At 49.1% G+C, this 12,139-nt stretch overlaps 1 protein-coding gene across 14 annotated transcripts in view, besides 1 other annotated feature; it reads right to left on the bottom strand.

Annotated features, from left to right (window-relative positions):
• The window catches only part of TBC1D14 (TBC1 domain family member 14), a 123,649-nt gene that overhangs the window by 72,368 nt on the left and 39,142 nt on the right, over positions 1-12,139 (bottom strand). For 2 of the 14 annotated variants that reach the window (XM_047416003.1, NM_001330638.2), the window contains exon 1: positions 6,409-6,581. The exons of the other annotated variants lie outside the window; for them this stretch is intronic. In XM_047416003.1, the coding sequence (XP_047271959.1) occupies positions 6,409-6,446 (38 nt within the window). In that variant the 5' untranslated portion in view covers positions 6,447-6,581. Of the gene's footprint in view, positions 1-6,408; positions 6,582-12,139 lie in introns of those variants that run through there. 14 annotated transcript variants of the gene reach the window in all.
• Positions 889-1,389: an enhancer, noted in NCBI's record as "H3K4me1 hESC enhancer chr4:6961085-6961585 (GRCh37/hg19 assembly coordinates)". NCBI's record gives its function as "activates a minimal SCP1, AML or CMV promoter by ChIP-STARR-seq in primed H9 embryonic stem cells {active_cell/tissue: H9 hESC(primed)}" and the evidence as "EXISTENCE:reporter gene assay evidence [ECO:0000049][PMID:30033119]".

Below are 12,139 nucleotides of genomic sequence, written 5' to 3'. Positions count from 1 at the left end.
TCTGACAACAGGTTGGGGCCTGTGCGGTCCCATACAGGAGCCACTGGACACGCCAAAGGTGCAGCTCATCATGCTGAAAGATGCTGGCTGACATAAAACATATTATTATTTTTTAATGTCAGATAAAGTCTGGAAACAACCCAAGAGTTCCTGATACACTCACAGGCAGCTTTCAGGAGGCCAACAGGCATTTTTTTGAAGGGAAAAAAGCAAGGTACATAATCATACAAGGCATGCCATGTAACACCTGCATCTGCATTTGCCTGTACAGCCACAGACTCTCTGGAAGAACACAAAAACTGCTTATATTCATTGCTTCTGGAGCAGGATATTGGGTAGCAAAAGGCACGGGGTAGGCCAGGCATGGTTGCTCACATCTGTTATCCCAGCATGTTGGGAGGCAGGGGTGGGCGGATCACTTGAGCTCAGGAGTTTGAGATCAGCCTGGGAAACATGGCAAAACCTTGTCTCTACAAAAAATACAAAAAAAAAAAAAAAATAGCCAGGCATGGTGATGTGCATCTGTAGTCCCAGCTACTTGGTAGACTAAGGTGGGAAGATCACTTGAGCCCCGGAGGCGGAGGTTGCAGTGAGCTGAGATCGCACCATTGCACTCCAGCCTGGGTGACAGAGCCAGACTCTGTGTCAAAAAAAAAAAAAAAAAAGGGGCACAGGGTAGAAAGCCAACTTTTCACCCATATACTGTCTTGTAATTTTTGATTTCTGAGCCATGCAAACGTGTTGCTGATGGAAAAAAGTTCATAAAAAATTTAAAAGCCACTGCAAAACTAGGCATTTCTGCCATTAGAAAATGAAATGCTTTGTACCACTCCCACCTCATCCTTCAAATCAGTAAGACTTCATCACACCCCAAAAAAGTACAGGATTTTTCTGCACTCCTAGCAACACAACTTGGCAAGATCGGGCCACTCCTGTTGCATTAGGTAGGAAGTGACAGCAAGCAAAAGGCCAAAGAAGAAATGCAAGTATTCAGTGATGCGCTGCTGGTACCAAAAAACAAGGCCTTTGGAAGAGACATAAAAATGTTTATTCCACAGTCTAAGTACAATCGTCATGCCTACTATGCCTCAAAAATGGATCCTGAGAGGGTTCCAGAGAAGGGGCTGCATGGAGCGCTGAGCCTGTGATCCCCCCTTGTTCCCACTCACTCAGCAGCTCTGCACGAACCCCTGCCCACACTGTGCTTCCCAGAGGCGGGGGCCCTGCTGGAAACAGCAGCAGCCGGCTGTGAGCCTGCAGGAGGACCACAGCCTTCACACCAGCCCGGGGGAAGGCCCAGCAGAGACCAAGGGCTTCAGAGAAGCAGGCAGAGCTGTGTCTGCCCTTGACTTTATCTCTTGGCAGGCACTGCTTCTGAGCCTCATTTCTACCTCTCAGGATTAAATATGATAAAAAGAAAGCCAGGAAAGCACCCAGCACCTGCTGCAGGGCCTGGCACCCTGCATATTCCATTCAGTGACACACACTCTTAAGTGAGCACCTATCGTCTCCAAGGCTCAAACTATAAAACAAACAGGTGAGTTAATAATGCTACCATCCTCGGCCGGGCGCGGTGGCTCACGCCTGTAATCCCAGCACTTTGGGAGGCCGAGGCGGGCGGATCACAAGGTCAGGAGATGCAGACCATCCCGGCTAAAACGGTGAAACCCCGCCTCTACTAAAAATACAAAAAATATTAGCCGGGCGTAGTGGCAGGCGCCTGTAGTCCCAGCTACTTGGGAGGCTGAGGCAGGAGAATGGCGTGAACCCGGGAGGCGGAGCTTGCAGTGAGCCGAGATCCCACCACTGCACTCCAGCCTGGGCGACAGAGCGAGACTCCGTCTCAAAAAAAAAAAATGCTACCATCCTCAAGAAGCTGACCAATAAACTGGCCAATGAGACAGGGGTACGGACACCTTGAGAACCAAGAGGAGTGTCCGGCTTTCGAGGGTGAGAGAAAGAAGATTGAAGAGTGAGAGCATTCCAGGGAAGGGCATTAAGAAGACTGTTCAAGCCAGGCCCAGTGGCTCACACCTATAATCCCAGCACTTTGGTAGGCCAAGGTGGGTGGATCGCTTGAGGCCAGGAGTTTGAGAATAGCCTGGGCAACATAGTAAGACCTCATGTCTACAAAACATTTAAAATAAAAATAAGCCAGGCGTGGTAGTGCACACCTATGGTCTCAGTTACTTGGGAGGCTGAAGTGGGGGGAATCGCTTGAGCCCAGGAGTTAGAAGCTGCCACAAGCTGAGTGAGCCCCTGCACTCCAGCCAGCCTGGGTGACACAGCGAGACCCTGTCTCAAAAAAATAAATAAAGCATAAAAAGATTGTTCAGTAATATCTGTGTGTGTGTGTGTGTGTGTGTGTGTATATGTGGGGATCACGTGTATCACCCTTACCCTATCACCCACCTCCTAGACTCACTGAAGTCAGGATGCTCAAGGGACATAACCCCCTCGACCCCCAGTATGAAGCAGGTGAGGCTGTTGGAAAGGTGGCTGGCCAGGCAACTGCAGACTCCGGCTCTAACTGTGGGCTGGCCACCTGGAGCAGTCATCTGGACAGTGACTTGACTCATGCCTGACCCACACCTGGCGCTGTGTTCAGCTGCTGAGTGGGACACAGAGCACAGTAGGCAGTGCCATCCCTGGGGAGCTGAGAACCTGGGAGCAGGATGAGCCTGGCCCAGGCTAAAGGGCTGAGTTATATTTCTAGGCAGCACTGTGGGCTTAACATCGCCAAGAGGGTTAGGATATCCCAACAAGGGGATGATAAAAACAGCCCATAAAAAAAAAAAAGCCAGCACTCCTTTTTTATTTATTTTTATTTATTTATTTATTTTTTCCTGAGAGTCTCACTCTGTCACCCAGGCTGGAGTACAGTGGTGTGAACACAGCTCACTGCAGCCTCAACCTCTCGGGCTCAAGCAGTCCTCCCACCTCAGCCTCTGAAGCAGCTGGGACTACAGGCTTATTCCACTACACTCGGCTAATTTTTGTAGAAACAGGGTCTCACCATGTGGCCCAGGCCGGTCTCGAACTCCTGGGCTCAAGCCATGCTCCCGCCTTGGCCTTCTCCCTCTAACTTTCTAAGATAAAACCTAAAAGACACATTCTCTTCCCAGGAATATAGCAAGAAGTGCCCAATCACCAGCCCAAATTCCTCTCCTGGCAAGACCAGAGGAGACCAGTAGGCAAAAGCAAGAGGCGAGCGCTATATGGGTAAAGGAGAGGAAGTGTGCCCCCGGCTTCAGAACACAGAAACAAAACACCTTTACAGAGCAAGGAGACGCCGTACCATGCCAGCAACTTTCACCTCCATCTGTCCAAGTATTTCTTTACCTAAATATTTACTTGTTCAAATGTATGTTGACTCTAAGTCACACACTGTTCCAGGCATGGAGCGCCTGCTCCCATGGAATTTACTGTAAACATCACCCACTGCTTCAACGTGAGATTGGTGATAGTGTTCCAAGGAAAATAGCCTAGACATTAGGTCAGTTCTCAAGGTCACCCATCTGGGACTCAAACTCAGGCCCTTCCAGGCCTCCCCAGGCAAGTACCGGTGGACCCATGGAGTCTAGTTTCCCAGTGCAGGCTACAAGTTTCTCCACTTTCCTCCCAGTACAAATGAAGAACAGCTGGCCGGCGCCACCCTCAAGAGGAGCACACAGCAAGCGATGTGGCTCCCAGCACGGTGCAACCATGCTCCTGCTCCACTCCCAGACTTTTCCTAAGAAAGGCAAAGCTGTGGGGTGTGGTGGAGGAGATACCAAATCAATGGTAAAAAGGCAAAGACAACCAAGTAGCCGGAAGCAGCTTACTGGCTGTCCATCCCACTCCCGGGGCCACCTTTGTTCGCTTCTAGCAAATGGAGCGGTGAGGAACCGCGGCTCTCTTGGTGAGAAGGCCCCCACACCTGAGCCCGGCCACAGACCCAGTGCTCCTTCCCCGCACAGGCAGCTCAGGCACAGGTCTGCATCTAGAAAGCCACAAGGTGGGAGGTAACCTCGTATCACCTGCATTGGCTGAGAAGTGAGGCACAAGAGGCTTTGAGGAGACCAAGCAGTGGCTATGCCAGCCTTGCCCTTCCACAGAGAAGCAGCCCCGGGCAAGCAACCCCGGTCCCTGGGCCTCCTTTCATCTGCAATTAGAGATCATGCCACCTTCCTCCTAGGGCCAGGCGAGAGTGAAGGGGGACCGGGCGTGTCAGTCATCCCACACACTCTAGGCGCTCAATGGCAGGTCTGTGTAGGCGCGTGCGCAGGAGCCATCAGCGGGGATGGCGTGTTGGGAGCCTGTGTTTTCTGTCTACGCCGTGTTCTTCAGTTTGATTTGTTCAACATTTTTAAACAGAAAAACCTGGGTTTCCAGCTTCTCTTGGAATAGAAGATGTGGCCACAGTGAGCCAGAGCTGCTCAGGAGCCTCTGGCCAGGGGTGGTCTGTCCTGCACAATCCCTCCACTCCGCCACACTCCAGCACACCTGCTACTTCAGCACTTGCATCATCTGTTCGCAGGCGCAGATCTAGGTTTGGAGGGCCTTGGAGCTTACACAGTTTGGGGAATTCTCTAAGAACAAAACTTTATTATGAAAACAAAGTACAAGTCGGGGGGCTATGATCTGTCTCCTTCAGCAGAATGTCAAGCTCATGGAAGTGGGTACCACCTCTTCTAATTACCGCTCTGTCTCTAGTGCCTACGACAGTTCCTGGCACTGAGTAAAACACTCAGATTATTGAATGAAAGCTTTTTTCAATTAATTTTTATAAAGATTACATGAGAATTATTATTGCACTTAACCAAGAGGAAGGTAGGAGGCTGGGGAGATGGGCCCAGACTCGTCCACCTAAACAACACAGAGCTGCGACTCGGACTTACGTGTCCGAGGCTGCTACCTGTCCCTGAAGGCAGAGGACAGCTGGAGAGGCAGGACGCAATCCTCCCTGACCTGGTGGAGCAGGTTCCACAAGCCACGGACACTCATCAGGGCTTTCTCAAAGCCTCTCAAGTCTTAAGAAATAAACCCAAAGTCCCCTCCCTCAAGATACCATACACTTCAACGCCTGTTTGCACTTCAGCAGTTACTCAGGGCTTCTTGCTCTTTCCCTCCTTTGTCTCATTAACAGAAACTGCTGGCAACTTCCGATTCCAAAGCAATCAGAAGCCAGCTGAGCAATGCAGCACTCGGCTCCCATGGAGAGTGCCAGGCCCAGGAGGGAATCTTTGCCACCACTTTCTGAAGCATAGTTACCTGGTGCAGGGCACTATCAGGTGCCTGCCTAGTGCTGCACCAGGCACTTTACCTATGTTTTACATCCTCCTCCCATGACCCTACAAGAAAGGTATTACAGCCGCCACCGTACGGACAGGACACCGAGGCCCAGCGAGGCTAAGACGCTTCCTCCTGAAGGGACATAGCAATCCTGTTATTCACCAAAGGTAGAGAAGGCAAAACCTAAATGCTTCCTCTAAATCCCACTTCCGAGGTATACTTTCCAGATCTCCACCCCCCAAAAACTGACATTGCCACACACATTCATAGGGGCCTCTGACTCTCCTTTGAAAATGCAAGGGAAAAGGGCCAGCCCTCTGAACTGTCACAGAGACATGAAAAACAATGCAGCCTCCTTCAGAGCAAACCTCCTATGTAAGAAAATCCTACCTCCTCCACAGGAAACACGAAGAAAGAAAGTGAGGTTCTATTACCATGATCAATCACTGTGCTCAAAATTCCTAGTTCCACACACAATCCAAAGTACCCAAGAGCTGGAAATACTTGGAGCCACTCTTCTTTCAGAAAATGCTACTCAAGTAGCAACTGATGCTAAAAAGTTAATCCAGGCCGGGCACGGCCGCTCACGCCTGTAATCCCAGCACTTTGGGAGGCCAAGGCGGGTGGATCACTTAAGGCCAGGATTTCAAGACCAACCTGGCCAACATGGCAAAACCCCATCTCTGCTAAAGAAAAATACAAAAATTAGCCAGGCGTCGTGGCACACGTTTGTAGTCCCAGCTACTTGGGAGGCTGAGGCAGGAGAATCGCGTGAACCTGGGAGGCGGAGGCTGCAGTGAGCCAAGATCGTGCCACTGCACTCCAGCCTGGGCGACAGAACCAGACTCCGTCTCAAAAAAACAGTCCTTAAAAACAGAATATCCAAGTCAAGGAAGTGCAGTGGGCATGAGATACACATAAGCACAAACACCAGCCCAGGGAGCTCGGGCACTCAGAGATGCTGCCTAGATAGAAAGGATCACCTCCATTTCACACCGGGGGAGACCCACAGAAACACCTCAGCCCAACCAAGGCCGACGGTCACATGCTGTCAAAGCTACACGCAGGAAAGACTCTGCTTCCAGTTAAGTCTCCAGTTCCAACAGCAAGAAAGGCAAGAAAGCAGCCACAAACCTGTCCATGAACAGGAGCGCAGGGGAGATGGCCATCATGTCTACTGTGACCTCGCAGCTCCGAGGGGCCGGCTGCAGAAGCACGGACTCTCCCCGTGCCGCATTCCTGGCACGCCAGAGCCACAGTCCCGGGGAAACTCCATGGGTGCACTCGGAGCCCCGCCCCTCGCGTCTGCCAGATGAAGGCAAGCTGGACCCAGCAGGCCGGCGGAAAGGCGGGGGCGGCAGGGCGGGCCTCCCCAGTCACAGGGAGGGAGGAGTGAGCCCAAAGTCTGGGAAGCAAAGCCTGAGTGACGGGTTCTCGGGCCTGGGACACGGCTCCGCACCACATGCCGTGGCAGGGCAGGCTACCAGGCACAAAACCCACCGGGACCTCGGACCTGGAAAAGCGCCAAGCACACAGCACGTCCAGGCTACCTGTCACAAAACCCACCGGGACCTCGGACCTGGAAAAGCGCCAAGCACACAGCGCTTCCTGAGCGTCTGCAGTGTGCCAGGCACTGTGCCTTGTGAAGCAGCGGCCAGGTCTGCCGTTGAGTCACAAGCACAGAACCGTGAAATTAATCCAAATACCTACACTAGAACCATCGCTCTGGATTCCCCCTCACTCACTTCAAATGCTGTTGAAGACAAAAACGAAAACCCAGAGCTAACTAACAACCTCATGTCCCCCAAAACTGATCTATTCTTTTTTTTTTTTTTTTTTTTTTGAGACGGAGTCTCGCTGTCGCCCAGGCTGGAGTGCAGTGGCGCAATCTCGGCTCACTGCAGGCTCCGCCCCCTGGGGTTCACGCCATTCTCCTGCCTCAGCCTCCCGAGTAGCTGGGACTACAGGCGCCCGCCACCTCGCCCGGCTAATTTTTTGTATTTTTTTTTTTTTTTAGTAGAGACGGGGTTTCACCGTGTTAGCCAGGATGGTCTCGATCTCCTGACCTCGTGATCCGCCCGCCTCGGCCTCCCAAAGTGCTGGGATTACAGGCGTGAGCCACCGCGCCCGGCCAACTGATCTATTCTTATGGCTGGGCGTGGTGGCTCACGCCTGTAATCCCAGCACTTTGGGAGGCCGAGGTGGGTGGAACACGAGGTCAGGAGTTCAAGACCAGCCTGGCCAAGATGGTGAAACCCCGTCTCTACTAAAAATACAAAAATTAGCTGGGCATGGTGGTAGGTGCCTGTAATCCCAGCTACTCGGGAGGCTGAGGCAAAGAACTGCCTGAAGCTGGAAGGCAGAGGGTGCAGTGGGCCAAGATTGCACCATTGTACTCCAGCCTGGGCAACAGAGCGAGGCTCTGTCTCAGAAAAAAAAAAAAAAAAAAGAAAGAAAAAAATAGTTAGCTAGGCGTGACAGTGGGTGCCTGTAATCCTAGGTACTCGGGAGGCTGAGGCAGGAGAATCACCCAGGAGGCAGAGATTGCAGTGAGCCAAGATCACACCACTGCACTCCAGCCTGGGCGACAGAGTGAGACTCCATCTCAAAAACAAAACAAAAACAACAACAACAAAAAAAAACTAGTCTAAACCACCAGCATGCACTATGGGTTGGTTCCCCTTGGAGCCAACGCCATTCAGTTATGTCAACTAGCCCCTGCAGAATCATCCTCCTCAAGCCCCAGCCAGCATCCTCTAACAGTCAGCTCCATCATCCCTTAAAAAAGAAAACACCTGTCTGTGTGTTTATATGTATGCAAGGCACCAAAGAAGTCTGCTGAGAGGCACAGGATGAGAAGCAGAAAAGGGAATTTTACTTTTATTTCATAGATGTCTGCACTGTGTTTTAAAAAACCAAACAAGCACATATTACTTTTGCAATTTAAAAAACCCTGGACAATCAAGTACAAGAGCTGGCCTGGCAGAGAGTGGTCCTGAGCACCTAGTCTGTGCCTGGCCCAGGGGACCAGAGGGGATGAAACTGACAAAATCCCTGCCCCAGGGCAGCCAACATTTGATTCGGGGAGGGGGCCAATTAATGAATACGATCAAACCCTGTGGTTCTCAAGTGGGGAATCTGGACCAGCAGCGGCATCGCCTGGGCACTGGCTAGAAACACAAATTTCTTGAGTCCCACCCAGACCTATGGAACCATAAACCCCGGGTGGGATCCAGCAATCTCTGGTTCAACGAGCCCTGCAGTGGCTCCGATGCACACCTGGATCTGAGAACCACTGTTCTGAACGGCCGCATGCACTTAGAAAGGTGATTCCTGCTGTCCTACTTAACACTTCTCATCGGTTCCCACTACCCAGGGAGTTTCAAACCACATCTGGTCTAGCACATCAGCTATGGGTGGGGCCCAGAGCAGTCACTCCACAAAGGGGCATAACCACGACAACAGCCTATCAGCCAAAGCCTTCCCAGCCCTGCCGCCTCATCGCCAGTCTCCTTCCCAAATACAGACCCTGCAGCCTCGTGTTCCCATGCCTCTCCAAATCCTTCCTCAACACTCAACAGTCACAATTTATATATTATACCTCAACAACAACAACAACAAAATTAAGTCAATAATTTAGAAACTCACAAAGAAAACTCCAGGTCAAATGGCCTTACTGGTGAAGTCTTCCAAACATTAAGGAAGAAATACACTCACAGAACAGACCTTTCACTAGCCCTCTCCTCCACCATTCCACCCCCTGGGGAAATGTATTAGATCATTCGACAAATTATTTATTGGCATCATTTAATCATAAGAAACAGACTTATTCAACAAGGACTTTCTGATGTCCCTTTGAGGATCATCTGACAAAGTCTGTGAGGGAGGGGGTGTAGGTGAGTACATGAACACATTTTTAAAAATTCCCTTGTGAAAGTGTTTTATTACCTTTTTAATTTTTTTGTTGTTAATGAAAATAAGGTCTCACTATGTTGCCCAGGCTGGACTCGAATTCCTGGGCTCAAGCAATCCTCCCCCATCAGCCTCTGGAGTAGGTGGGATTGCAGGCTACCACACCCAGCTATTATTGTTTCAATTCATATACAATAAAATGGACTTTTTTGAATACAGTTCTATGAGGGTTTTTTATGTTGTTGTTGTTGTTGTTGTTTATTTTTTTTGAGATGCAGTCTTGCTCTGCCGCCCAGGCTGGAGTGCAATGGTGCCATCCTGGCTCACTGCAACCTCCATCTCTTGGGTTCAAGCGATTCTCCTGCCTCAGCCTCCTGAGTAGCTGGGATTATAGGTGCCTGCCACTACACGCGGCTAATTTTTGTATTTTTAGTAGAGACAGGGTGTTTCACCATGTTGGCCAGGCTGGTCTCAAACTCCAGACCTCAGTTGATCTGCCCGCCTTGGTTTCCCAAAGTGCTGGGATTCCAGGCATGAGCCACTGCGCCCACTCAGTTCTACGAGTTTTAACACACTGGTAGGTTCATGTAATCACCAGAGAAAAATCTTATAGAAACTCTTTGAGAAAACAGAAAGTAGAACTCTCCCAACCCATTTTATAAGGCCAGCATAATTTTGATATCAAAACCAAAAGGAAAATTACAGCCCATACCCTTATAAATATAGACAGTAAAGTCCCAAACAAAATATGCAAATCAAATCAATGATAAATGTAAAGTATAATATATTATGAACAAGTTGGGATTATTCTAAGAATGCGAAGTTAATTTTACATTAGAAAAATACGTTCTTTACCATGTAAAGGAGAAAACATAAGTTATCAATAGATGCAGGAAAAAAGCATTTAATAAAATACAACAGTCATAATTTTTTTAAAACACCTTTACTAGGACTAAAAGGAGACTTCCTTATCTAATAAAGGTATCTAATAAAGAGTAAGGTATCTGATAAAAGGTATCCTATGGCAAACATCACACTTAACGAGGAAATAATGAAAGCTTTCCCAGAGCCCAAGACCCAGACTAGGATTTCTGCCAGTCCCACTTCAATTCAGCACTAAATGGGAGAGCCTGGCCATACAATAAGACAAGAAAACAAAATGAAAGGTGTAAGAGTTGAAAGAAAGAAACTCATTCACAGACAGGACGATTTTCTACAGAGAGGATCCAAATGAACTATGGATAAGCTATTAGAATTAGTAACCGAAGTTAGCAAGGCCTATACACAAAAACTCACTGCATTAGCCATAAAAAATAATGAGTTCACGTCCTTTGCAGGGACACGGATGAAGCTGGAAGCCATCATTCTCAGCAAACTAACACGGGAACAGAAAACCAAACACCGCATGTTCTCACTCATAAGGGGGAGTTGAACAATGAGTACGCATGGACACAGGGAGCGAACATCACACAACAGGGCCTGTTGGAGGTGGGGAGCACGGGGAGAGGGAGCATTAGGACAAATGCCTAATGCATGTGGGGCTTGAAACCCAGATAACAGGTTGATGGGTGCAACAAACAACCACAACACATGTATACCTATGTAACAAACCTGCATGTTCTGCACATGTATCCCAGAACTTAAAGTAAAATAAAAAATAAAAAAATTCACTGCATTTACAACAAACACTACCCAACGAGTCAACTCTACATTTCTTGACATTTGTAAAACCATCCCAAACAGTATCCAGGAATAAATTTAATGAAAGAAACATAAGACCTTTACATTAAAAAAAAAAACAAAAACAAAACTACGAAATGTGGAGAAATGAAAGAAAACCTAAATAGAGGTTCAAGGATTCAATTTTTTTTTTTTTTTGAGACGGAGTCTTGCTCTGTCGCCCAGGTCGGAGTGCAGTGGCACGATCTCAGCTCACTGCAAACTCTGCCTCGCGGGTTCAAGCGATTCTCCTCCCTCAGTCTCCCAAGTAGCTGGGATTACAGGCACCTGCTACTACACCCGGCTAATTTCTGTATTTTTAATAGAGATGGAGTTTTGCCATGTTGGTCAGGCTGGTCTCCAACTCTTGACCTCAGGTGATACACCTGCCTCGGCTTCCCAAAGTGCTGGGATTATAGGCGTGAGCCACTGTGCCCGGCCACGAATTAGAAGTCTTCATGTAATAAACACTGATCTATAAATTCAATGCAATCCCAAACCAAACCCTTGCAAATTTATTTGTACAATCTGCCAAACTGATTCTAAAATCTATATAGAAATGAAAAAGACCAAGACTAGCCAAGACAACCTTCCAGAACAAAATAGAAGGGCTCCCTCCCAAGTGCTGGGATTACAGGCGTGAGCCGCTGCGCCCAGCCTTTTTTTTTGAGACAGATTCTCACTCTGTTGCCCTGGCTGGAGTGCAGTGCCAAGATCTCAGCTCACTGCAACCACCACCTCCCAGGTTCAAGTGATTTTCCTGCCTCAGCCTCCCAAATAGCTTGGATTACAGGTGTGCGCCACCACGCCTGGCTAATTTTTTGTATTTTTACTAGAGACAGGGTTTCACCATGTTGGCCAGGTGATCCACCCGCCTCGGCCTCCCAAAGTGCAGGGATTACAGATGTAAGCCACCACGCCCGGCCAGGAGATGGCCAACATGGTGAAACCCCATCTCTACTAAAAATACAAAAATTAGCCAGGCGTGGTGGCTCACGCCTGTAATCCCAGCTACTTGGGACGCTGAGGCAGAAGAATCGCTTGAATCTGGGAGGCGGAGGTTGCAGTGAGCTGAGATCTCACTACTGCACTCCAGCCTGGGTGACAGACTCTGTCTCAAAAAAAAAAAAAAAACCAAGTACCCCTACCTTGTCACCGGAATGACAAAAAGAAAAATAAACTGACAATATCACCTTTCGGAAGGATCAAGAGCAGCCGGCATCACCACACACCG

This window comes from Homo sapiens, chromosome 4 (genome assembly GCF_000001405.40).
Source record: "Homo sapiens chromosome 4, GRCh38.p14 Primary Assembly".
NCBI classification, from domain to species: domain Eukaryota; kingdom Metazoa; phylum Chordata; class Mammalia; order Primates; family Hominidae; genus Homo; species Homo sapiens.
This window is presented reverse-complemented; position numbering and strand designations above follow the sequence as displayed.